The following is a 26602-nucleotide window of genomic DNA, read 5'->3' as shown; positions in this document are numbered from 1 at the left end:
ATGCAGAAGTGGAAGGGCAGCTCCCAGAGGCCCAGTCACCACAGCCCAAGGGACGTATGGCCACCATCAGGCTGTCAAGAAGGAAGCAGGTAGAGAGGCTGGGAAAGCCACCCAGGGTGACACAGGCAGCCAAGGGTAGAGCTGGGGTGGGAGACCACTCTGTTCTGAAGGTGTCACCACCACGCGATGCGGAAGGGGTTGCCAGGGTGGGTGGCAGCAGCTCTCAGCTGGAAGCCTGTGGCCCTAGCAAAGCAGGAACCAGAGGCCCACATGTTAATGCCACTGGTTTACTTGAAGCCGGGGCACCCAGCCTATTGCTCCCAGGCCCCGGGGGGTGGGGAAGGGGGGACCCGAGCCTCAGTCCTTTGGTCCCTCCCACCCTACTTCTGCTGGATCTGGGTACCAGCCTTACTAGGAGTGACTTCAGAGTGTTCTTCTCAACCCACTCGCTTTTTTAAAAAAAACTTAATTTTTACTTGAAAACTGAACTTGACAGTCATACAGACATGTAAGTAATTCTGATGCTCATCCAAGCAACCACCTAAGAAAGCGTGCTTGCCAGAAGAAACTGAACCTGCATCAGATCGAGCTTCTAGACCTAAGTCCTAACTTACAGGAAGCACAGAGACAGAGAACACGTGCAATGACACCACAAGGATGTATCAGCTGGCCCCAGACTGCAAAACTCCAGGACAAATGGCCTAGGTCGCCTGTAGAAAAACTACGACAACATGCACGCCAAAGAGCTGATGCCAGTATCTGAGCATGACGGCGCACACCTGTGGTCCCAGCTATTCAGGAGACTGAGGCGGGAGGATTGCTTGAGCAGGGGAGGTCAAGGCTGCACGTGAGCTCTGATCGCTCCACTGCACTTCAGCCTGGGTAACAAAGGGAACAAAACAAAACAAAAAAAAGAGGCCTATCAACCGGATGCAAAGTGTAGACCTTGTCCAGACCCAAATCAAACAAATGGGCCGGGCGCCGTGGCTCACGCCTATAATCCCAACATTTTGGGAGGCCGAGGCGGGTGGATCACTTGAGGTCAGGAGTTCGAGACCAGCCTAGGAAACTCTGTCTCTACTAAAAAATACAAAACTTAGCCAGGCGTGGTGGCGGGCGCCTGTAATCCCAGCTACTCGGGAGGCTGAGGCAGGGAGAAGTGCTTGAACCTGGGAGGCGGAGGTTGCAGTGAGCCGAGATCGTGCCACCGCACTCCAGCCTGGGAGACAGAGTGAGACTCTGTCTCAAACAACAACAACAAAAAACAAATGAAAAAGGATTATGGCAGGGTACGGTGGCTCACGCCTATAATTCCAGCACTTTGGGAGGCTGAGATGGTTATATCACTTGAGGTCAGGACTTCAAGACCAGCCTGATCAATATGGTGAGACTCCATCTCTACTAAAAATACAAAAATTAGCCGGGCATCATGGCACACGCCTGTAGTCCCAGCTACTCGGGAGGCTGAGGCAGGAGAATCACTTGAACCCAGGAGGCGGAGGTTGCAGTGAGCCAAGATCGCACCACTGCACTCCAGCCTGGGTGACAGAGTGAGACTCTGTCTCAAAAAAAAAAAAAGGATTATAAGACAACTGGGGAAGCATGAGGAGACTGAGGCAGGCTTGTTCTGGAAAAGTGTGGAATATTTCTGGCTGTACGACGTTTGGGATTTGCTCTGAAATAAGCAGGGAGGTGAGGAGCAGGCACAGGCGACAAGGCCTGGCCACAGCTGCTACCTGCTGAGCTGCTGACAGGGACCCCAGGAGGGCGCGAGACTATTCTTCTGGGTATGTGTGAACATTTCCATAATACAAAGGTGTTCAACATTTTACCAAAGGAAATGTGACCTCATCGTAATGGCAAAGAATTATGGATCACTCACCCTGTGAATCCTAACTACTAAATCCAAGCACGGATCCTGCCTCTCTAATAAGTGTAATGGTAATAAGAGTACTAGTAACCAGAATGGCATAATGACAGTGGCCCTGTTCTGAGCATCACACAGCAGACTCACTTCATCCTCCCAGCAACCCTGGGAGGCAGCAGGAATCATTATCCTCCTGCTCCAGATGTGGGAACTCAAAAACATCTGAGGCTCAGGGCCTCGCCCAAGGTCAGAGGATGCTGTGCCGGAGCAGGGAGAGGCTGCAGGTGGAGCTGGACTCCTGAGCCCTTCGCTGGAGAGGGGTAGGGGGAGAGGAGGCAAGGGGAGCCCTCATCCCTCAGTGAGTGGGGACATACGGGACCATCAGCTATCAGTCCCCCCTAGTCCCATCAAATAATAAAGGCTCTTGCAATGTAATATTCGCCTTTCTAGCACAAACCTTTGTTGCAATTAAACTACTGACCGACAGGCAGTCCTACCCACAAAAGCTGAAACATTAACTGGCAGTAGAGGACTCCCGGGACCGTAGAGGTGGCTGGTGTCACAGGGCATGTCAGAGTCAACCCGTGGGGACAGTCCTCCCTGCAAACTTGCAGAGCCAGCCCTAGCCACCCTTGGACTGTCAGTCAGATGGTGTGTTGCCCCCAGCCCCAGACTCCACGTGTCAGGAGCTGTTAGGGAGGCCAGCGTGGTGACATCAGCATCCTTCCCCTCAGAAGGATGTCCTGGGCCTGCAGAACCCATCTCCCCTCTGTGGCTTCAGCCAGATCCTGCCTCAAAACACAGAAATCTGGGAAGTTTCTGCCAGGGGAGGAGGGAAGCTGAAATGCAGGAGGGTGGGGTGGGGAAGGGAGATAAGAGGCAGAAAAACAGGGAGAGAGACAGAGGTGAAACAGAGAAGGCCCAGACAGACATCTGGACAGACCAGAAATGGGAAGATAAGACAGTGACAGAGACTGCCATCGCCAAGCTCGAGGCCTTCTCTGGGCCTCAGTTGCCTTATCTGGAACACAGGAATCACAGTCACATGTCCCCGTAGCGTGCCGTGACTTAACCCCTCCATGTCAGAAGCCTAGAAAAGCACCCAGAACATGCCAAAAGCTAAAACACATTTGTTGCCATTCCTGCAGGCCAGCAGCCCTCACTCCAGCTCAGAAGCATGTCAGAGTCGCCAGGGGAGCATTAAAAAACCCCAAGGCCCAGACCCCACAGCTGTACAGTCAGCTTCAAATGGTCCAGCTTGGGCCCCTGCAGTGCCTCCCACCCCGGGTGACCCTAAGGCGCAGCCAAAGGATAAGGAGATTGGGGAGTGGGCAGGAGGATGGATCCAGCCCTGAGACCTGGATGGGGGAGGGTGTAAAGAGAGACTGAGACAGACTGATGGAGTGGGGGGAGGGCAGTACCCAGAAGGCCCTCTCTGGCTCACCTTCCCCCACTTAGGACCATCAGGAGTCTGGGGCCTGCTGAGGAATGCAAGGAATGAAGTCAGGCCTGGCACAGCCATCTCCAGAGTCCCCTCCCCATTCGCAAACTCCCATGAGGTGTTCCTGGTCCAGCCGCCTCCAAGCCATCACTCAGTCCTCCCTGAACACCCCTTCCCAGCCCCCTCCTTGGAGCCCAGGTCCCGAACCCTTTATCCCGCTGGGTACCCCGACACTGGCCCAGCTCAGGCATCCCCCTCAGTGTACTTCTCAGTGTCTGCAGGAGTTGCAGCAGATGAACAACCATGATCCCAAGAACTGGCAAGGGGCCGTGCGGCTGATCACCAGCTCTGACAGGAGGGAGGCCCGAGGAGGCTTCCCAGAGGTGCTGACCTTTAAGCCAAGACCCACAGAATAAATGAAGTCCGAGCACTCCACAAAGGCCAGCGAGGCTGGGGTGCTGCAGGAAAGTGGGGAGGGACGGGCCCTGCCAAAGCTGCTGGAGGGACAGGGCCAGCCCCTCCCCAGCCAGCCATGGGCTGTGGGGGATGATGTGAATCAGGGGAGGAATCGGCTGTAATCTCCATCACACCTGCTGCCCTCCACCTGTCACAGCTCAGTGGGGGATGGAGAACCCCCCACTGACCCACTGGAGGGTGCTGGGGTATCCCCATATCCTGCCAGCCCCCCAGAGTAGGGCTGGGTCCTGGCTCCTTCCTGCCACGCTGTGGGGAGACCCCAGCTGAGCTGCTTCCCGCATCCCAGAGCCTGTTCCCTAATAATTAAACCGTAAGCTGATTAGTCAAGGCAAACCTTTAATTAGCCCTTGAAATCATTCAGGAAAATTACAGCCTCCTTTCTGGGCACCCTGCCCGCCCTCCGCCAGGGTCCAGGGGCGGTACCAGGGAAGAAGCAGAGAATGGGAGAAGTGGCCTCCTGCCACCGCCATGAGGTCCTCAGCCAGCAAGGCTAAACCCAGGGTGCACGGCATCTTGTGGGAGTGGAGGGCACAGACTCCCTGCCACATCATGAACTACCCTGGGAAAAACCCCACAAGAGGTGGGCAAGGCGTCGGCTGGAAAAGTATGAACGAGAAGACATAAACAAATGGAGAGACATACCACGTTCATGGATTGGGAGACTCAGTGTCAGGTGTGTGCGCACGAGCACACGTACATACACTGACAACATGCTTGTCTAATATTTAAAGGGAATTACAAAAAGTCAAGAATGGGCTGGATGCCCATTACAGTGGCTCATGCCTGTAATCCCAGCACTTTGGAAGGCTGAGGCGGGCAGCTGGCTTGAGCTCAGGAGTTTGAGACTAGCCTGGGCAACATGGTGAAATCCCATCTCTATAAAAATACAACAACAAAAAAAAGTTTGAGAACAGGATGGCCAACATAGTGAAACCCCACCTCTACTAAAAATAAAAAAAATTAGCCCATTAGCCCAGGGTGGTGGCGTGTACCTGCAGTCCCAGCTACTGAGGCTGAGGAAAGAGAATTGCTTGAACCCAGGAGGTGGAGGCTGCAGTGAGCCAATCTTGAACCACTGCACTCCAGCTTGGGTGACAGAGCAAGACCCTGTCTCAAAAAAAAAAAAAAAACCTCAGGAATGGCTAAGACACTAGGCACAGTGGCTCCCGCCTGTAATCCCAGCACTTTGGGAGGCCAAGGTGGGCGGATCACAAGGTCAGGAGATCGAGACCATCCTGGCTAACACGGCAAAGCCTCATCTCTATTAAAAACACAAAAAATTAGCCAGGCATGGTGGCGCACGACTGTAGTCCCAGCTACTCCGGAGGCTGAGGCAGGAGAATCGCTTGAACCCGGCAGGCGGAGGTTGTAGTGAGCCAAGATCGTGCCACTGCACTCCAGCCTGGGTGACAGAGTGAGACTCTGTCTCAAAAAAAAAAAAAAAGGAAAGTGACCTGAACTGGCCCTTCCTTCACAGGAGTCTGGAAGAACAAATTGAAAGCTGCCCCACCTGACTGGCTACCAGAAAAACACATCAGACCACAGAGGAAACACCACCAGATCTACTCTAGTTTGCAAAATGGGCGAAGGACTTAGCATTGGTGCCCCCCTCACCTCCCAATCTGTGAAATGGGTCACACGGGTGCAGCTACCTCCTGGGATTTCAGGGAGGCCCAGGCAGCAGCTTGGGAGCACTGGCCGGGACACAGGGCCGGCACGCACAAACCCTCCATTCGTCTTTCCTATTCATCACCCTGAAGAGCTTCCCGGATCTAGAATAAGGACTCCCCGGGCCCAAGGTCACACCAGGCCTTCTCCTGCCTCCAAGCAGGGGTGCCCCAGATGGCTCCAGAGGCCAGGCTCCAAATGGGCGGCAACCGGGTCTGTTTATCCACCACCGCATCCCTGGAGGCCACACGGGTCAGCACTCCACCAAATTTGTTGGAAAAAAATAAACAATCACATTTATATTTATGTATCAGGCACCAGGATAAGTGTGTTAGGAGCAGAACTTCAGGAATGTCCAGGAACACCTGAAGCAGCCACCTTCTAGAGAGGAAGACACTGAGGCAGAGAGAGGCCCAAGCAGCTGTCAAGACTGGAATCCAGACCAACCCAAGAACCGACCTACCTGTCTTCCTTCAATTCCTCAAAGGCCCCCTGCACTCCCCCGCCGGGAGACCTCTGCAATGGCAGCTGCCTCAGCCTCCTCCCTTAGTCGAGGCCAAGTTCATCCTTCAAGTGGCATTTCCTCCTCAGGAAAACCTTCCCGGTGTGCCCCACCCAGGGCGGGTCCCCATTAGACGCTCTGGCAGCCCAGCTTACTACAGTTCAGTCAGTCAGTCAGTCAGTCAGTCAACCAGCATTTACTGAGAGACTACCACACTCCAATCCCTGAGAACATAGCAAGGGGCAGGGCAAGGCCCTGTGGTTCTACCCCTACCCCCATGCCCTGAGGCTACGTTATGCCGGGAGACAAAATAAACCAACAGACCCACATGTCATAATGGAAGTAACCATCATGAGGGTTACCGGGGGAAGGTGCTAGAGGGAGGGTGACAGGGGCTGCTCCTGGGGACCCATGGTCGGGAAGAAACATCTCCCCAAGGGGGCCACTGTCAGCAGAGGCTGACTGAACAGAAGGAAGGAGGGTGCTGCCTGCCCAGGGGGCAGCAAGAACAAAGGCCCCGGGGTAGGACCTGCCTGGAATGTTCCAGGAATGGTGGCAGGAGAAGAGGGAAGCAGGGCAGGCAGGAAAGTGGCCAGGTTGCCTGGGACCTTGCAAGCTTCTCTGCTGGGAGAGGTGGAGCCAGGGGAGGGTTCCTGCCCTGACCAGGTGTGCACGGCTACCTCTGGCTGTGTGCGGACAACTGTGGGGACAGTGGGGGAGAAGGGAGCAGGGAGCACGCCTCAATGGTCCAGGAGGGAGATGAGGGTGGCTTGAACTAGGGGGCCACGAGGAAGAAGGGTAACAAGGAAGGGGGGTAACGAGGAAGGGGGATGATGAGGAAGGGGGGTGACGAGGAAGAGGGGTGACAAGGAAGAAGGGTGACGAGGAAGAGGTGTGACCAGGAAGGGGGTGGCGAGGAAGGGGGGTGACGAAGAAGGGGGATGACGAGGAAGGGGAGTGACAAGGAAGAGGAGCCCGCAGCACCAGGTTACATTGTCATGTAGAGTGACAGGCTTTCCAGACACTTTGGATGTGGCGGGGGGGCAAGAGAGGAGTCAAGGTGATAGGGTGCCAGATTTGGAGAAGCCTAATCCCGAAACAAGACGAGGGATGGGGGTTCCTGTTCCCAAAATGGGGTCACTGTGGGAAGATGGGGGCCGGGAGCCTCCAGCCCGGCTTATCTTTCTGTTGCTCTGCAGTCGAGGTCTGTGTTCCCACTGGACTGAGCTCGGGGAGGGCTGCCTGTTGTTTGGGTTCACCCTTCAGTCGCTGGGCCCCAGCGCAAAGCTGGTCAAAGAATACACGCTTGGGCAGGGCGCAGTGGCTCACGTCTGTAATCCCAGCACCTTGGGAGGCTGAGGCAGGTGGATCCCTTGAAGTCAGGAGTTTGAGACCTGCCTGGCCAACATGGTAAAACCCTGTCTCTACTAAAAATACAAAATTAGCCGTGCGTGGTGGCACATGCCTGTAATCCCAGCTACTTGAGGGGGTGAGGGAGGAGAATGGCTTGGATCTGGGAAGCGGAGGTTGCAGTGAGCTGAGATCGCGCTGCTGCACTCCAGCCCTGGTGACAGAGCAAGGCTCCATCTCAAAAAAAAAAAAAAAAAAAAAAAAAAAAAGAATAAGCACTTGACTCCTGTCCACAGAATGGGTGAGAGTCGGAATGGACAGGAGCAAGGGGAGGACAAAATAACATGAGGGGCTCAGCCCGATGATAACCAGTGGTGTTACTTTTGCAGGAAAAAAGAATAAAAATGTTCCAAGGTCAACCAAAAAGTCTGACGGTACCAAATGTTGGTGAGGAGGTGGAGCAACTAAGATCCTCAGTCACCACCGCTAGGAGGATACACAGATTTGACCACCTTGGGAGGCTGTGTGGCAGCGCCCACTAAATCTGAAGCTACCCCACCCTCTGCCCTGGGCTACGCACTCCTGGGTATATTCCCTGAAGAAACGCAGGCACCGGCACCCCAGGAGATGCTACAAAGAGATGGCTCGCATCAGCGCAGCAGGAGATGGAGGAACAGAATATTATATGGGGCTGGGCACAGTGGCTCACGCCTGTAATGCCGGCACTTTGGGAAGCTGAGGTGGGTGGATCACCTGAGGTCAAGAGTTCAAGACTCGCCTGGCCAACGTGGTGAAACCCCCTCTCTACTAAAAATTAAAAAAAAAAATTAGCCAGGCATAGCGGTGTATGCCTGTAATCCCAGTTACTCGGGAGGCTGAGGCAGGTGAATCGCTTGAACCCAGGAGGCAGAGGCTGCAGTGAGCCAAGATTGCACCACTGCACTCCAGCCTGGGTGACAGAGCGAGACTCTGTGTCAAAGAAAAAAAAAGAATATTATACAGCAACAAAGATGAATGACTACAGATACACTCAGCACACAGATGGATCTCACAGGCCTAAGGGCGAAAGAAAGCACAGACAAGGACATACTGGAAGATTCCATTTATGTCAAGTTCAAAAGCAGGCAAGATGACATTCTGTAATTCAAGGATGCATACCTCATGGTAAAAACTATCAGGAAAAGCAAGGACACAGTGACCACCAAGGTCAGGAGAGCACTCACGACTGTGGTCGTGATGGACAGGGGTTATGGGCAGGCGGCTTTTGGGAGGTTGTGTTCTGTCTTTACCGAGGTGGTGGGGAAGCGTTGTTCACTTTGTAATTCTTTGCTAAACTTACCTGTGCATTTTATGCACTTTTCTATGGGCATATTATAATTGACAATTATTAAAGGTTTTTTAAAAGCAGTGGAGTTAGAAGCGCTGTGTATATATATAGCATTTGAGAGTCAAATAACGTGGGCCCAGGCTGCAGTGGAAGATTTGCGGGGAAGGGACGACAGAACTATGGAGGCCCCTGTGGGCGGCAGGGAAGGAGGGTTCCTCGGGAGAGAAGGACAGGGGCCTCCTGTGGGGAGGGCAGGGAGGGGTCTTCACCTGGGGACGGGTCTGTGGAGGGGCCAGTGGCCCGCAGGGTCCTACTTTCTCCCCATGGCCAGTGCTGACCGGTGACTGTGGGCGCAGTGAGGGAGGGAAGGGAAGGGGAGGGGGGCTGGCACCCCACGCAGCCCAGGAAGACCGGCCGCCTTCCGCCTCTGGGAGTGAAGTGTGGGAGTGGCAAAACCGGGCTGGGAAGTGAACTCAAAACCGCTGCACAATGCTGCTTTATCAGGAGTTCCCAGGACAGGTGGCAGGAGCAGGGAGGGTCTGGGACGGGGAGCTCTCTAGGTGAGGACCCTGCCCACCCGGTGCTCCCAACCCTCAAGGTGTCTGCTCGAAAGCTCCTGGGCAGCCTGCCTGGAATGCAGACAGCAGAAGGTGGGTGGGGGAAGCAGGAGGGAGAGCTTTGTAACCCTCAGGCTTAGCCCCGGGTAGCAGGGGAAGCGGCCACAGCGATTACCAGCCAGGCCTCCAGCATCCAAATCCCAGTTCCTCTTGCTCTGTGACGGGGCCAGGTCCCCCAGGCTCTCAGTCTCCTCCCTAGAAAAGGGAGATCCTAAGAACACGTGTGTCTTGGAGTTGATGGGAGGGTCCAGTAGGTTAGTTCACAGAAAGCACTCAAACAGTGCCTGCTCATATTAATAACATGGCTATTGGTGACATAGCTATAATATTAATAATACGGCTATTAGTAACGCAGCTAACAGTCTTTGAGCACTTACTATACATTTTGCCTGCCGAATATACATTTAGATCCTCAAAACAACTCTAAGAGTAGATATCATTAGCACCCTCATTTTACAGATGAGGACACCCGGGCACAGAGAGGTGATGTGACTTGTCTGGGGTCACACTGCTAGTAAGAGACAAAGCTGGCTCCGGAGGCCAAGCCCTTGACCTCTTCTGTGTCAGATGGGTTAGGAGCTCCAGAACGGAGCCAAGGTTTGAGTGCCACATCTGCCACGTATTTGCTGTGGGACTGCTGGCCTGTGCCTCAGTTTCCCCTTCTCAGAGAAAGTAAAATTATCAGGAATAGACAGCTCCAAGAAAAGGAAGCTCAAGATGGCTTTCAACAACACAAAGCTGTCCCACTTTGCTCTGATTAAAATCAGAACCATGATGAGACTGTTTGTCACCTATCTGACTGGCAAAGGTGAGAATGTCAGGTGACACCCGTCTATTCCAGCAAGGGAGTGAGGAAACCCCGGTGTCATCAGACACTGGGGGGTGGGAGTGTGAGCCAGACAACCTCCCCAGCAGGGTGAAACACTAACACTACCGGCAAAGTTAACGGGGCACCTGTCTCAGACCACGAGGCCACAAGCTCAGACTCACACCTAGAGACATATGCACAGCCACACTCAGGCGGGCGCAGCCCTGTTCACAGCACGGAAAGATGGGAATGGCCTGATGGCCATCAGCACAGAATGGCTGTGCTGTCCGTGGGGGCACGCGTGTGCGTGGGACACGAGGCGGCACTCTGTGTCCTGACAGCGAGCTTCGGAGTGGGAAACGCAAAGCACAGGACAGAATATAAACATGGGAAGTCCGCTCCATTTGAGTAAAAACAAAAGGGAGGGGCGGGCACTTGGGGGAACAAATATTTCAAGAAAGAAAGAAAAGAAACCGGGGGTGATGATGCTATCTCTGGGAAGGGCCTGGCAGGCGGGTGGGAAAGAGATTTGCTCGTCCCTGTACATCCTTTTGTGCTGTGTGCAGTTTTTCAGTGATTATTTAGGGGAATAGGTAATGCATGCACATGGAGGAAAAACGTGCTTTCTGAAAATTGAAACACGGGAAAAGAGAAACGAGGTTAAAAACACCTCCTCCTCAGGGTCTCTGGGTACAGCCACATGACCATGCTCATAGACTCACAGCACACGCGTGCCTGGCACGTGGAGCTGGGACCCCGGGCGGGGGGCTGGGGTTATTACAGCTCACTACGGGATGAGAACCCAGAGGGGGACAGGGTGCAAGGGACGGAAACCATCGAACGCACCAAGTTCAACATTTACCAAGCACTTACTGAGTGCTGAGCATCGGGCTAAGCACGACGCACACACATGATCTTCCGCCCTCCCACAGCCCTGAGAGGTGGCCACCAATACTCCCTGTAACAGGTGAGGAATCAGAGGCCCAGGGAAGTTCTTTGTCTCTTCCCCAGGGGCTCCCAGCTAGTGAAAAAGGCTAAGGGATGTGTGTGGACTGAGCAGCCCTGGCAGGGAAGTTCCACTGCCCCTCGGGAAGGCAGCAGATGGCCTCCCAGCCTGGGAAGGGTCGGGGCAGGACCGGAGGGTCCCAGGAGAGAGGCTTCAGTGAGCGGTGGCTTCTGTCGCATCCGCCAGCGCTGGCTCCCCTGGGATGGGAGAGTGTTCCCCTTCTCACCCTCCTCGGCCCCTCCAACCTTCCTGTGGGCCAAGGCGTCTGGCAGACAAGAAGCCTTGGCCCCGGATGGGTGACTAGGCGGGAAGGGTCCCACTTCCCTGGCCATGACTTGGAAGGAGGTTGCTTCCTGCTGGCAGCATGTGCGGGGCTGGGCTCGGTGATGGGAGAAACAGCTGCTGGGGACACCCCTGACCGGTGTCTGGCCAGGAAGTCTGGCTCACCACGAGCCAGTGGGACGAGGAGTAGATGAGAAAGGAAAGGGAGGCCCTGAGGGAGGTAGGGACCCAGCGCCCAGAAACTACCCAGGGGGAACAGGTCTCCACGGAACTTCTGTCAACAAAGGAGCCTGGGTAAGAACCAGCTGAACAGGAATCAGGCCTGTCTTGTCCGAGCCAGTTCCAAACCACGGGAGGGCAGCCCCAGTAATCAGTGACACTGAAGCCCCAAGGCCTGGGGTTCAATCCTACCTCTGCCACTGCCTGCTGTGTGACCTTAAGCAAGTCCCGTACCTCTCTGGGCCTCCTTTCTCATCTCTAGAGTGAGGATGATACTAGCACCTACTTCACAGGTTGCTGTGAAGATGAAGTGAGGTAACAGGGGTAAAGCGCTGATGACCTCAGCTGGCACGAGGACGCTCCTCCATCACTGTCCCCTCGTCTTCTCCACCCTCTTCTGCTTGGACTGTCACAGCAGCCTCCCCACAGCCTCCCTGTCGCCACCCCCCGCGATCCGTCCCCCACACAGCAGCCTGAGCAATCTTTATAAGGGGAAAACCAGATGTCACTAAAGCCTCTGATGACTTCCCATTATGCACAGAATGGAATCCACACACCCCACCTGGCTCTGCTAGGCCCTGCTGTATCCAACACCGCCTCCAAGCCTCTGACCCCACCCCCTGCTCAGCCACACTGGCTTCTTTTTTTTGCTTTTTTATTTATTTATTTATTTTATATTTTATGTATTTCTTTAACTGCTCTTTGCAGAGCAAGGCTACCACACAGTCAGGGTGCACAGCATAGCCTACACCGGCCTATCTGATGATCCTCGACCATTCCGAGGTCATTCCGACCCTCAGGGCCTTGGCACTTCCGTACCCATGACCTGTTACATTCTTTCCACCTCCTTCCAGCCTCGCTCATATGTTCTCATCAGTCAGATGTCATCTTATCCAGAAAGCCCTCCTCAACTCCCCACGCTGGGCCACATGCCTCCTCGGGCTTCCTACGGTCCCTGCGCCTCCATCCCAGTCCCAATCCCTCTCTGTGCCCCTCCCCACCATCCAGCCCCAACCCCTCTGCCTGGGTTTCCCCATCCCGCCCTGACCCCTCTGCCTGGGTTTCCCCATCCTTCTCTGACCACTCTGCCTGGGTCCCCCCCAGTCCCACCCTGATCCCTCTGCCTGGGTCCCCGCTCCCATCCCGCCATGACCCATCTGCCTGGGTCCCACCACCCCACCCTGACCCCTCTGCCTGGGTCCCCCCCACATCCCGCCCTGACCCTTCTGCCTGGGTCCCCCCCACATCCCGCCCTGACCCTCGCCTAGGCCTCTCCTTCACAGCCCTGGCCTCTCTGGGCTGTCACCGTCTGGGGACAGCAGGTCTGTCTCCTTCACTGTACTATAATCTACAAGGGTAGAGCTGGGCTGTGTTGGTTACCACTGGGACCAACAGTCAGATACACAGAAAGAATGTTACAAGGCCTCACCCATCCTCCAACTTTCACCTCCGTCCTCCCTGCCTCCCTCCTGAGAGGTTCGAATCAGTATAGTTCTCTTTCCCAGCTGTCACCCCTGGCACCTGCCCCCAAGGGCAGTTGGGGCAAAGCTGCAGTCACCGTCCTGGATGCCCAAGGGGGTAAAGGTGAAAGCCCTTCCATCCTTTCTTCTCCTGTGGTTGTAGGGAGTCAGTGGGGACGAGGTCCCAGCTAAGCCAGTTGTGTGAACCATCTCCCCATCTGTTTCCAAACAGCCTGGTGGGTGGGTGGGTGGGCCCATAAACCTCCCATGTCACGGCCGAGGAAATCGTTTCAGTGAGGGCCACAAAGCTGCCCAAAGCAGGACTTGAAATAAAGGGAGCCCCGGAGCCTGCTGGGGAGCACAGTGGTCCAGCCACTGGGGGCATGACTTGGCAACCGCTAGGAAAGCGGGGAGCTCCGGCTTTTCCACTACTAGGCATATGCCAGAGAGACTCTGGCCATGGTCTACAGGAACACGCGTTCCAGAAGGCCCACTGCTGCACGGTTATAGCTCCAACGGACCACCTCAGTGGCCATCAACAGGTGAACAGGCAACTCCTGTGTGACACGATCACAAAAAGAAACACCATCAGGAAAAACAAATGGCCTGTCCCAGGCCTACACACATCCCCACCAAGAGACATCCAGACTCCAATGCTCAGCTCAAAGCGGGGAGCAGGTGTGCGCGCCTGTAATCCCAGCTACTCCAGAGGCTGAGGTGGGAGGATAGCTTGAGCCCAGGAGTTAAGAGTCCAGTCTAGGCAACATAGCAAGATCCCATCTCAAATATACCTATAATGTTGAACAAAAACAGCAACTTGCAGAAAGGCATGTTTATGGTGACACCATTTATCTGAACTGTGAAACAACAGTCGTCAGCCCCTGCTGGCCATAAGAACTGCCCAGGGAGCTTCCAAAAGCCTGAGGCCAGCCCCAGCCCAGACCAAGTAAGTTGGAAGCAGAATTTCCATGGCGGGCCTGGGCCAAGGCATCTTTTCAAAGCTCTCCAGGGAGTTGCAATGTGCAGCCAGGGGCAAGAGCTGTTGCTCTACTGTTGGTGAATACATTCAAGGGCAGTCAAAGTATGAAAGGCTGCAGAGGAATGGTGACTGCCACACCCAGGACAGAGGCTGCCCCTGGAAGGGAGGGAGGAGGGGGGGTGAGGAGGAGACCCTTGGCCTCTAACTGTATCACGGTGTGTTCTGTCCCAGGCCAGACGATGGCCGGATGCATGAGTGTTTCATTATACTGAAAGCCCTTTTTCCCCTAGCCAAACGTGTTGAAGGAATAAAAGTGGCAAATAAATCATTTGTCCCATGGCTGGTAAGTGACAAGGGAGGGACCTGAATATGGGTCTCCAATGCCCAAACCCTATCCTTCTTTATCTGTGCCAAACCCTGAGATGCTGAGTGAGCTGGCACTGCAAGGCTGGGAGGCTGGGCCAGCCTCAGAGGGCTGCCTGGCAGTGTGCCGGCTCCCTGACCCTGCCAGAGCCAGGTAGGGATGGGGTGGCTGCCAGAGAAAGCCAGGAGGCAGGTGGAGCGAGGGCCTCCACTGTCTCTGAGGCCCTCCCCAGGCAGTGGTGGGGTGGCAGCAGCAGCAGCAGCAAGACTAATGCTTACACAGCAACTACTGTATGCCAGGCCTTGGGCCAAGGCTCTCTAGCCTGCATCCTCACAGCAATTCTATGAGGCAGCGCTAACACTATGCCCATCTTGCAGAAGTGGAAACGGAGGTCCTCACATGCTCTGTGAGTGATGGAGAGGGGTGTGTACCAGGCATCTCTGGCCCAGCACTGCTTTCTGAATCACGCTCCATCAAGGCCTCAGGCAGCTCCACACATACAGGTACTCCTCAGCCCTCCCCTGCTCCCACCGTCCCTCCAAAGCTGAGTCCCCTCAGCGTCTTGCCCTGAACCTGCACAGGCTACGTGTTGCCCAGATCCCCAACTGTGCACCCGAGTCCTGACCTCCAGTCATGCCAGGGCCTCTGCACACACTGCTCCTCCTGCCTGGTAAGCCCATTCCCAGCCCTCCTCCCCATCCTTCAGAGCCTTCCCAGGGGAAAGGGACTCAGGCTTCAGCCCAGGGTAGGGGCACTCTCCCGGCTCTCTGAAGATGCCCTCGCAAGCCACATCACCGTTTGCAGAGACGCAGTCTTGTGTCACTGGCTTGGGGGCTGGTTCCACTCTGCTCCCACCAGGGAACTGAGTGCCCTCTGAGGCTAGGGGCTCTGTGGATCTCGTCCCCTGCCACACTCCCAGCACCCGGCACAGTGCCCAACAGTCAACCCCCAGCAATGTCACATCCTCTGCAGGCCAGGCAGGGCTTCAGTGGGGACCGAGGCAAGGAACCCCACAGAGCAATTCCACCATGCACCCTAATAATTAAGGTAAGGAGGGAGGTAAGGGCTGGTCAGATGAGAGAAAAAGAGCCTGCAGCAAGGCGAGCCAGGGTGGTCCCGGGCCAGCTGAGAGTGAGCGACCCGTCAGTGAGAGAGGGCAGGGTGGGGAAAGGATTCCCAGCAGAAGGAACAGGAAGGTCAAAGACCGGGCGGGAGGCATGGGCCTGGAGTTGGAGAACAGTAAAGGGGCTGGGGAGAAATGGGCAGAGCCATAAGAAGTGAGGTGGGAGTGACTAAGGACCACAGTGAGAGCTTAGGGTTTTAAGAACAGTGAACACCCCGCTCTGCCCAGGGTACCACCCAGGGACACTCTCCCCAGTCAGAAGCCCGTCGGACTCCCTTGCTCGGACTCCAGACCACCTACAAACACCCTACTCCCATAGGCTCACAGGAATCTTCCCTGCCAGATCACACCCTTCCAAGGAAACCAAGCAGACAATCCGATCCGCCCAGGGAGTGGCCCAGCCCTGCCCAGCCCCCTGCTTCCAGGAGAGACCTAATGGCTGGCAGCGGACAATGTGGCGACCAGGGGCAGGAGCCCTGGAATCACCCAGGCCCAGCTTCGATTCTAACTCTGCCTTCAGCAGAAGCTTCTGAGCCTCATTTTTCCCGTCTGTAAAGTAGGTTCATCTTGAGCACTCACTTCACAAGATTGCAGCAGGAGTGAAATACGACCGGGCACACAGGGCGTGGAGCACAGTGTGAGCCCTCATTAAACATTAACCGACATTATGATGATTTGAGAGGCGGTCGGCCAGAGCAGGGCTCTGGGCCAGAACTCCGGAGTTAGAATCCCAGCGCACAACTTATGCATCGGGTGACCTTGTGCAAATCACTTAACCTCTTAATACCAGGTTAAGACCCCCTAAGACTATAGTGAGGACTGAATAAGCTCATACAAGTAAAGCGTTAAAAAGAGGGTCTAGCCCATAGTGTTTCATGAGTGTTTGCCATTATTATTTGTGGGAGGGTTCCCCCTTCTCCTGTCACCAGGAAGCATCTCTGACCCGGCCCCCCCCCCCCCCCCCGTCCCCCGCAATACGCCCTCCTTGGGTTTTAATTTTTGACTCTGGGAAACAGCTGCCCCGCTGTCAGATTCTCACCTTTGTACCTTCTAGGCACGCCCCAGCTTTGAACCCCTAAAAGACGCCCCCGAACCTAAAACTCATTCATCTGCTCCGCTAGGGGCAGCTTTAAACCTCCAACCTGGCGCCCCTGGGGCTGTGACCTCTGACCCTCGTGGGGGCAGCCTTCCCTCAAATTATTAACTTTGACCCTGCCTTTTTTGAGACTCGCCCAGAACCCCTCGAACGCGCCCCCACTTCGAATTTCAAACTTTGCACTCCCCTTCGCCACGCCCCCTTCGCTGGTTTGATCTCCGACCTCCACTACAACTCCCTCCAGTCTGCGTTAACCCCCGACCCCTCGGACGCGACCCTTCCCTCCACCAGTGACCTTTGACCCCGGCGGCCCCGCCCCCCTCCTCGCGGAAACGCCGTCCCGCCGCCAGCGCCCGGCCCACCGCAAGCCCCTGGCCGGACCCCTTATCCTACCGGCTCGGCGCCGCAGTCGCTCGCGGCCTAACTGCTCGACCTGGAACTCCGCGCCCTCGCGCCTCCCTCAGCTCTCTTGCACCGCCACCACCGCGGACACTCCCGCCGCCATGTTGAATCCCCAACGAACATCCGGGGCTTTCCCCCCTCACCGCCCACCAGTCCCCATAGCAACGAGGCTGACCGGGCAGTGGGCAGGGCCAGTGCGGGGGCGGAGTCGGGCGCCTCTCAGGGCCCGCTCCAGCCTCCGATTGGTACAGAGCGTCCAATCGGAGACCTTCGGGCAGAAAATGCCAAGCGGGGATTGGAAATTTTGGAAAAGGTGCGGGAAGGCTGGCTCCCGGCCCACTGAGGTCCTTAAAGGGGAAATGACTGTTTTCGTGTGATACCGATTTTCTAACTTCCCCCCCAGAAGGAGTTAGGGGCTGGGAGAAAGTAATGAGTTAATGGGCAGAAACAGTTCTTAAGCACTTACTAGGAGGCAGGCACCGGGATAAGTGTTTTACTTGCATTTTCTCGCTGCATATACAACCCTGTGGTATAATATCATTAATACCCATTTTACAGATAAAGAAACAGAGGTTCAGAGGGTGAAATAGCTGGCTTAGCATCATAGAAAGAAGGTAATGAGTTTTGAACGCTGGTCTGTCTGAGCCCGGGAACCTGAGACTGTTTGCTCTTCAATTTTTAAATAAGTTTTTACGAAGTAATTGGTCAAAATATTGAAAACAAACAGCAGACATCTTCTTTAAAAATTTTTTTAAATTTTATTTTTACTTATTTATTTGTCTTGAGATAGAGTTTCGCTCTTGTTGCCCAGGCTGGAGTGCAATGGCGCGATCTCAGCTCACTGCAACCTCCGCCTCCCGGGTTCAAGAGATTCTCCTGCCTCAGCCTCCTGAGTAGCTGGAATTACAGGCGTCCACCACCACACCCAGCTAATTTTTTGTATTTTTAGTAGAGACAGCGTTTCACCATGTTGGCCAGGTCGAACTCCTGACCTCAGGTGATCTATCCGCCTCGGCCTCCCAGAGTGCTGGGATTACACGTGTGAGCCACCAAGCTGGCCTTTTTCTTTTATTTTTAAAGAGAGAGTTTTGTTGTGTTGGCCAGGCTGGTCTCGAACTCCTGGGCTCAAACTATACTCCTGCCTCGGCCTCCCAAAGTGCTGGGATTGCAGGCGTGAGCCACTGCGCCCGGCCAGACATCTCTCCTCCTGGATCTTATTCACTGGACTCCAGCCTTCATGCTGTTCCTGAACTCTTGTCAGGTGCGCTCTCACCTCACAGTCTTTGCACTGGTTGTTCCTCTGCCTGGAACATACTCTTCCCCCAGGTATCCTTATCTCTCCCTCCCTTTTTTCAGGGCTTTACACAGATGTCACTTTCTCTGTGAACTAATTCCCTCGCTCACCCTAAGGAAAGCAGCAAACATCCCTCTCACATACTACCAAACTCTGTCTGCTTTGTTCTTATTTCTCACTCCTAATTGTAGTTATTGCTTGTTGGTTGTCTCCTCTGCTGGAATGTCAGCCCCATGACAACATGGATTTCTGTCTTTGTTCACTGCTGCATTCCCAGTGCCCCAGCACTGTTGGCATGTAGATGCTCAGTAAACATTGGTGGAAGGGCTGTTTGAATGCGTGGTAATTCCACCCCTTCAGAGATACTCTTAAATGTTTGGTGCTTCTCCTCTGCCCCAGAACAGCCACATAGTAGGCATTTAATTAATTTCTACTAATGTCGGTGGCAACAATGAATGAATGATTGAATGATGAGTTAATTTTTCTTTATGTTTACCTATCTTTTTTCTTTTTATTTGTTCATTCGTTTTTTTTTTTGTTTGTTTTGTTTTTTGTTTTTTTTTTTTTTTTTAGATAGGGGTCTTACTCTGTCGCCCAGGCGGGATTGCAGTCTGAAACTCCTGGGCTCAAGTGATCCTTCCAACCTAGCCTCTCAAGTAGCTGGGACTATAGGCATAAGCCACCACACCGGCTAATTTTCTTTCTTTCTTTCTTTTTCTTTCTTTCTTTCTCTTTCTTTCCTTCCTTCCTTCCTTCCTTCTTTCTTTCCTCTTTCTTTCGACAGAATCTCACTTTGTCACCCAGGCTGGAGTGTAGTAGCATGATCTTGGCTCACTGCAACCTCCGCCTCCAGAGTTCAAACGACTCCTGGGCGCCTACCACCATGCCCGGCTAATTTTTGTATTTTTAGTAGAGACGGGGCTTCCCCATGTTGGCCAGGATGGTCTCGAACTCCTGGTCTCAAGTGATCTGTCCGCCTTGGCCTTCCAAAGTGTTGGATTACAGGCATGAGCCACTGCACCTGGCTTGGCTAATTTTCTTAATTTTTAGTAGAGACGGGGTCTCGCTGTGTTGCCCAGGCTGGTCTTGAACTCCTGGCCTCAAACAATCCTCTCACCTTAGCCTCCCAAAGTGCTGGGATTGCAGGTGTGAGCCACCATGACTGACCCCTTTTTTCTTTTGACAGAATTGGAAACATACGTTTGTAAAGAATGTTGTGTCTTTTTTTTTTTTTTTGAGACGGAATTTTGCTCTCATTGCCCACGCTGGAGTACAATGGCATGATCTCAGCTCACTGCAACTTTTGCTTCCCGGGCTCAAGCGATTCTCCCTCCTCAGCCTCCCCAGTAGCTGAGATTACAGGCATGTGCCACCACGCCCAACTAATTTTGTATTTTCAGTTGAGACGGGGTTTCTCCATGTTGGTCAGGCTGGTCTCGAACTCCTGACCTCAGGTGATCCGCCCCGCCTTGGCCTCCCAAAGTGTTTGAATTATAGGCGTGAGCCACCACACCCAGCCTAGAATGTTGTCTTTTAAACCACAAGATTGTAAATATCACCAGTGTCTTTCCATGTCATTAAATATTCTTCAAGAAGATTAGTTTTAATGGCTGCATAAGATGCCATCCTATCAATGAACTCGAATTTGTTTAATCACTGTCCTTTTGAACATCTATGCTGTAGTACCTTGCCATTATAAATAATCCCCCTCCCTGTCATGCAAAATCCAAGCAGCTAAATATTTGTGACCATCTCTAATTATTTCCTTGTGCCTGTCTCTAATTATTGTTCCTACTACAAATGAAACTTCTGGGTCAAGGAGAAGGTGTATCTTTAAGAATTAAGAATAGTAACAGTGGCCGGGTGTGGTGGCTTCCGCCTGGAATCTCAGCACTTTGGTAGGCCGAGGCAGGCGGATCACTTGAGGTCAGGATTTCGAGACCAGCCTGGCCAACGTGGTGAAACCCCCGTTTCTACTAAGAATACAAAAAATTAGCCGGGCATGGTGGTGCACATCTGTAATCCCAGCTACTCAGGAGGCTGAGGCAGGAAAATCGCTTGAACCTGGGAGTCGGAGGTTGCAGTGAGCCGAGGTGGCAGAGGTGGCATCACTGCACTCCACCCTGGGTGACAGAGTGAGTGAGACTCTCAAAAAAAAAAAAAAGAATAGTAACAGTTCCCATGTTTCAAGCATTTCTGTGCATCAGGAAGCAGGGTGCTAAGCCATGTAATTGTAACAGCTAAAGCTGTGAATATTCATCCCTTTTCCAGAGGAGGAAACTGAGGCTCAGAGAAGTAACTTCACTTGCTCAAACTCAAGGACCAATGGGGCAAACCCAGCTTTGACTCCCGGGCACTGTTCTCATTGACTGCCCTCTGCTGCCTCCTCATGGCCTGGGACACACATTGCCAAATTGTGCTGTAGGGATCCAACTCACGCTCCCACCAGCCTTCAGAGAGAATGCGCCCTTTAAAGAATCCTTGTCAGCACTGGGGGCCAGGCGTGGTGGCTCACGCCTGTAATCCCAGCACTTTGGGAGGCCGAGGTGGGCGGATCACAAGGTCAAGAGATCGAGACCATCCTGGCCAACTTGGTGAAACCCTGTCTCTACTAAAAATACAAAAATGAGCCAGGCGTGGTGGTAGGCGTCTGTAATCCCAGCTACTTAGGAGCCTGAGGCAGGAGAATCGCTGGAATCCGGAGGTGGAGGTTGCAGTGAGCCAAGATTGCACCACTTGGCTGGGCGCGGTGGCTCACGCCTGTAATCCCAGCACTTTGGGAGGCCGAGGCGGGAGGATCATGAGGTCAGGAGTTCAAGACCAGCCTGGCTAACATGGTGAAACCCCATCTCTACTAAAAATACAAAAATTAGCCGGGCGTGGTGGCACGTGCCTGTAATCCCCGCTACTTGGGAGGCTGAGGCAGGTGAATCGCTTGAACCCAGGAGGCAGAGGTTGCAGTGAGCCGAGACCAAGCCACTGTACTCCAGCCTGGTAACAGAGCGAGACTCTGTCTCAAAAAAAAAAAAAAAAAAAAAGATTGCACCACTGCACTCCAGCCTGGTGACAGAGCAAGACCCTGTCTCAAAAATAAATAAATAAATAAATAAATAAATAAATAAATAAATAAAAATAATCCTTGTCAGCATGAAACATTCTTGTTTTTGCACTCTTTTGAAATGCTTGTGTGTCTTGCAGAATCTTCATTAAAAAAAAAAAACAAAAAACCAAGACCAGGAGCTGAGATGACAACACCTTATTCAGGTCATAGTAACGGGAGGAGGGGCAGGTGCAGCCTTTGCCTCTTTAACGCCCTGCACAAACTTCAGAGCCTTAGGTTCTAGAACTCATTTTTGGGGAAGTCCCCTTGTAACTTAGTTGGGGATTGCATCAATAGTCAGACCCCTGGAACAATCCCAGGGACAGATCTACCCCAAGGGCTTACTCAGGGTGAGCAATCAGGCCCTGCTACTCCAGGACCCTGGGAGAGGAAAATCAGACTCCAAAGAGCCTCCTACAGAAGGCTTCCCAGTGGGGATGTTGAGGAGGTGACTCTTGAGGGATGGAAAAAGGCGAGGAGGGTGAAGAGGATTTGGCTTCATAAAAATGATACATTTCAGTACATCAAGGAAAAAGATAAGTTGTGACATATGGATGGCAAGAAAAGCTTTCTGTCTTTCATATGTAAAGAACATCTGCAGATCAATAAGAGAAAAAGGTAAACATACAACAGAAAAAAACAGGCAAAGGACCTAAAATAAATAAATAAATAAATAACAGTGAATACAAAAAAATTGAATTGGTGAACAAGCAATTAATGAAATAAGTATTAAACTGAGATTTGCTTTTGGTCTCTCAGAAAAATGTTTTTAAATATTAATATATTATAATATATAATTAGTGCTGATGAGAGTACACGCCATCAGCACTCTCATACCCCACTGTGGACTGGATCTGGGCAGCTTTTTGGTGATATTTATTAAGAGACTTAATATTCCTATCTACCTCTTGATACAGCAATTCTACTTCTAGGAACTGATCTTAAAGGGAAAGAAAGACTAGTGTTGCTTTCTTTAGGAAAAAAACATAGATAAAGGTGTATATATGCAAATATTCATCATTAGTAAGTACTATTTTAATGTTTATTATAACTATTGCTTTTTATATGTAATATTATTGATGTATCATAATGTACTTGGGCCGGGCACAGTGCCTCATGCCTATAATTCCAGCACTTTGGGAGGCCAAGGCAGGCAGATCATTTGAGATGAGGAGTTCAAGACCAGCCTGGCCAATATAGCGAAACCCCAGCTCTACTAAAATACAAAAATTAGCTGGGCATGGTGGCACATGCCTGTAATCCCAGCTACTCTGGGCACTCAGGCTGGGCATGGTGGTTCATGCCTATAGCCCAGCACTTTGGGAGGCTGAGGTGGGAGGATCACTTGAGCCAGTTGGGGAGGGGGTGTGTGTGGAGGTTGCAGTGAGCTGAGATCGGCCACTGCCCTCCAGCCTGGGTGACAGAGCAAAACCCTGTCTCAAAAAAAAAAAAAAAAAAAGTACTTGAATCCCCTATTATTGGACATTTGGGTTGCTTCCAAGTTTTTCCCTACCCTCTATGCCAGACCTTCTCTAAATCCACTTTACCTACATATCTTTTGTTTTGTTTTAAAAATAGGGTCTCTCTGTCACCCAGGCTGGAGTACAATGGCTGGATCATAAAGCTCACTATAACCTCTTATTCTTGGGTTCAAGTGATTCTTCTGCCTCAGCCTCCTGAGTAGCTGGGACTCAGGCATGCGCCACCACACCCAGCTCATTTTTAAATTTTGTGTAGAGACAGGGTCTCGATATGTTGGCCAGGCTGGTCTCCAACTCCTGGCTTCATGTGATCCTCCCACTTTCACCTCCCAAAGTGCTGGGCTATAGGCATGAACCACCATGCCCTGCCTAACTACTTGATCTTATCTAATTGTCACTATTTATATTTAAAGTGGGATCTTTAGCTCCACTTAACAGATGAGGAAATTGAGGCACAGAAATAGAGTGGAAAGTAGAACAAAGTCCCACCACCTGGAAGCAACTCTGCTGGGCTTGTAACCAGGAAATCTTGATTTCAAAACTGATGCTTAAGCCGGGCGTGGTGGTCACGCCTATAATCCCAGCACTTTGGGAGGCTGAGGCAGGTGAATCACTTGAGGCCAGAAGTTCAAGACCAGCCTGGTCAACATAGTGAAACCCCATCTCTACTAAAAATACAAAAAATTTACCAGGCGCAGTGGCTCACGCCTGTAATCCCAGCACTTTGGGAGACCGAGGCGGGCTGATCACGAGGTCAGGAGATTGAGACCATCCTGGCTAACACAGTGAAACCCCGTCTCTACTAAAAATACAAAAAATTAGTCTGGCGTGGTGGCGGGCACCTGTAGTCCCAGCTACTAGGGAAGCGGAGGCAGGAGAATCACTTGAACCTGGGAGGCAGAGGTTACAGTGAGCCGAGATCGCGCCACTGCTCTCCAGCCTGGGAAACAGAGCGAGACTCTGTCTCAAAAAAAAAAAAAAAATTAGCTGGGCATGGTGGCACACTCCTGTAATCCCAGCTACTCGGGAGACTGAGGCAGGAGAATCACTTGAACCCGGGAGGCAGAGGTTGCAGTGAGCTAGATTACACCACTGCACTCCAGCCTGGGTGACAGAGTGAGACCCTGTCTCAAAAAAAAAAAAAAAAAAAAGGCCGGGCGCAGTGGCTCACGCCTATAATCCCAGCACTTTGGGAGAACGAGGCAGACGGATCACGAGGTGAGGAGATTGAGACCATCCTGGCTAGCACGGTGAAACCCCATCTCTACTAAAAATACAAAAAATTAGCTGGGTGTGGTGGCGGGTGCCTGTAGTCCCAGCTACTCAGGAGGCTGAGGCAGGAGAATGGCATGAATCAAGAGGTGGAGCTTGCAATGAGCCGAGATCTCGCCACTGCACTCCAGCCTGGGCAACAGAGCGAGACTCCGTCTCAAAAAAAAAAAATTATATCTCAATAGAGTTATATTAAAATGTTTTTAAAATGCAGTAGAATAAAATTTAGATTTTAGTTAATAATAATATATCAATATTGGTTTATCAATTTTAACAAAAGGCCATATAAATATGTTGTGTTTTTTTTTTTTTTTTGGAGACGGACTCTCTCTCTCATCAGGCTAGAGTGCAGTGGCGCAATCTAGGCTCACTGCAACCTCCACCACCCGGGTTCAAGTGATTCTTCTGCCTCAGCTTCCAGAGCAGCTGGGATTACAGGTGCACACCACCATGCCTGGCTAATTTCTTTTTGTATTTTTAGTAGAGACGGGATTTTACCATGTTGGCCAGACTGATCTCGAACTTGTAACTTCAGGTGATCTGCCCTTGTCAGCCTCCCAAAGTGCTGGGATTACAGGAGTGAGCCACCGCGCCTGGCCTACATTCTTTTTATTTTATTTTATTATTTCTTTTTTATTTAGCTAGCTAGGTAGCAAGGACGGGGAGAGTGTCTCACTTTGTTGCCTATGCTGGTCTTGAACTCCTGGCCTCAAGCGATCCTCCTGCCTTGGTCTCCCAAAGTGGTGGGATTTCAGCCCTCTTTTTAAAAATTAACAGATAAAAGTGTATGTATTTAACGTGTACAACACGATGTTTGAAGTATATATACATTTTGGGATGACTAACTCTAGCTAATTAACATATGCATTACCTCACATAACTATCATGTTTGTGTCTGCTTTATTCTTTTTTGCATGGTTTGAGTTTATATATTTTTAGCAATGAGTGTGTTGCTTTCTCACCTGAAATAAAATAAAACTATTACCATTTTTAAAATTTGCTGAAAAGAAGCACTGAAGATCTGGAGGGAGGAAGGGGCTGGGAGGAGGGACTCCTGTCCAAGGAGGGAGCCCATATAACAGAAGCCCTTGCAAAAAACTTCCAAGAGGTTTGTCTCTTTGGCTGTGTTTGTAGGATCTGCGAGTCTCCTTCTCAACTTTTTGCCCACTCCACATGCTCTATTCTCATCTCCCTCCATGTCCCCCTTGCTCAATCTTAGGATGGCCAAATTTAGCCAATAAAAATATAAGATGCAGGCCGGGCGTGGTGGCTCACGCCTGGAATCCCAGCACTTTGGGAGGCAGGAGGGTCACCTGAGCCCAGGAGTTCAAGACCAGCCTGGGAAACACAGCAAGACCCGTCCCCTACCCCTCGCCCCACACCGCTGTCTCTACAAAAAAAAAAAAAATTTAGAAAATTAACCGGGCATGGTGGAACTCACCTGTGGTCCCAGTTACTTGGGAGGCTGAGGCAGGAGGATTGCTTGAGCCCTGGACGTTGAGGCTGCAGTGAGCTGTAATTGCACCACTGCACTCCAGCCTGGGCAACAGAGCAAGACGCTGTCTCAAAAAATAAAATAAAAATAGGCCAGGTGCAGTCGGTCACACCTATAATCCCAGCACTTTGGGAGGCCAAGTTGGGTGGATTACCTGAGGTCAGGAGTTCAAGACCAGCCTAGCCAACATGGTGAAACCCCGTCTCTACTGAAAATACAAAAATTAGCCAGGTGTGGTGGCAGGTACCTGTGATCCCAGCTACTTGGGAGGCTGAGGCAGGAGAATCGCTTGAACCCAGGAAGCAGAGGTTGCAGTGAGCCAAAATTGCACCACTGCACTCTAGCCTGGACAACAAGAGTGAAACACTCCATCTCAAAAAATAAGAATAAAAGAAGAACTCATCCAGGTGCTGGGAGGGTGGTGCGCCCCAACTCCATGGGGACAGAAGCTGCTATGCTCACCCTATGCATCTCTTCATTAAAATATCCTTAGTCATAAACCTGCAAATGTAACTGTTTCCCTGAGTTCTGTGAGCCGCTCTAGCAAATAAATCGAACCCCAAGAGGGGGTCGTGGAAACCCTAACTTGAAGCTGGCCAGTCAGAAGTTCCGGAGACCCAGACATGCGGCTGGGGAGGGAGGGAGCAGTGTGTGGGACTGAACCCTCAACCTGTGGGATCTGAGGCCGTCTTTGGGTAGATGGTGTCAGAAATGAGTTGGAGGACACCCAGCTGGTGTCTGCTGCCTGGTCTGTGGAAGAACCCGCCCCCTGCGTTTGATCACAGTCTATGTTGATGATTGTTGTTGTGGTGTTTCGTTTTGTTTTGTTTTTTGAGATAGAGTCTTGCTCTGTTGCCCAGGCTGGAGTGCAGTGGTGCGATCTCGGCTCACAGCAACCTCTGCCTCCCGGGTTCAAGGGATTCTCCTGCCTCAGCCTCCCGAGTACCTGGGATTACAGGCACCTGCCACCAC

General features: G+C 52.3%; 1 protein-coding gene and 1 long non-coding RNA gene across 8 annotated transcripts in view, besides 4 other annotated features; one reads left to right on the top strand and one right to left on the bottom strand.

The window, feature by feature from the left end:
* PAK4 (p21 (RAC1) activated kinase 4) overlaps positions 1-17113 on the bottom strand; it is a 57031-nt gene extending 39918 nt beyond the window's left edge. For all 7 annotated transcript variants that reach the window (NM_001014831.3, XM_011526316.2, XM_011526320.2 and 4 more), the window contains exon 1: positions 16980-17113. The gene's annotated coding sequence lies outside the window, so the exon portion shown is untranslated. The remainder of the gene's footprint in view (positions 1-16979) is intronic.
* Positions 3273-3862: an enhancer, noted in NCBI's record as "H3K27ac-H3K4me1 hESC enhancer chr19:39629677-39630266 (GRCh37/hg19 assembly coordinates)". NCBI's record gives its function as "activates a minimal SCP1, AML or CMV promoter by ChIP-STARR-seq in naive H9 embryonic stem cells {active_cell/tissue: H9 hESC(naive)}" and the evidence as "EXISTENCE:reporter gene assay evidence [ECO:0000049][PMID:30033119]".
* Positions 6336-8712, top strand: PAK4-AS1 (PAK4 antisense RNA 1). The gene is made up of 2 exons (XR_007067254.1): positions 6336-6477; positions 7695-8712. It is a non-coding gene; the product is annotated as a PAK4 antisense RNA 1 (long non-coding RNA).
* Positions 7013-7758: an enhancer, noted in NCBI's record as "H3K4me1 hESC enhancer chr19:39625781-39626526 (GRCh37/hg19 assembly coordinates)". NCBI's record gives its function as "activates a minimal SCP1, AML or CMV promoter by ChIP-STARR-seq in naive H9 embryonic stem cells {active_cell/tissue: H9 hESC(naive)}" and the evidence as "EXISTENCE:reporter gene assay evidence [ECO:0000049][PMID:30033119]".
* Positions 9832-10412: an enhancer, noted in NCBI's record as "H3K4me1 hESC enhancer chr19:39623127-39623707 (GRCh37/hg19 assembly coordinates)". NCBI's record gives its function as "activates a minimal SCP1, AML or CMV promoter by ChIP-STARR-seq in naive H9 embryonic stem cells {active_cell/tissue: H9 hESC(naive)}" and the evidence as "EXISTENCE:reporter gene assay evidence [ECO:0000049][PMID:30033119]".
* Positions 10413-10994: an enhancer, noted in NCBI's record as "H3K27ac-H3K4me1 hESC enhancer chr19:39622545-39623126 (GRCh37/hg19 assembly coordinates)". NCBI's record gives its function as "activates a minimal SCP1, AML or CMV promoter by ChIP-STARR-seq in naive H9 embryonic stem cells {active_cell/tissue: H9 hESC(naive)}" and the evidence as "EXISTENCE:reporter gene assay evidence [ECO:0000049][PMID:30033119]".

Source organism: Homo sapiens, chromosome 19 (assembly GCF_000001405.40).
Source record: "Homo sapiens chromosome 19, GRCh38.p14 Primary Assembly".
Taxonomy (NCBI): domain Eukaryota; kingdom Metazoa; phylum Chordata; class Mammalia; order Primates; family Hominidae; genus Homo; species Homo sapiens.
This window is presented reverse-complemented; position numbering and strand designations above follow the sequence as displayed.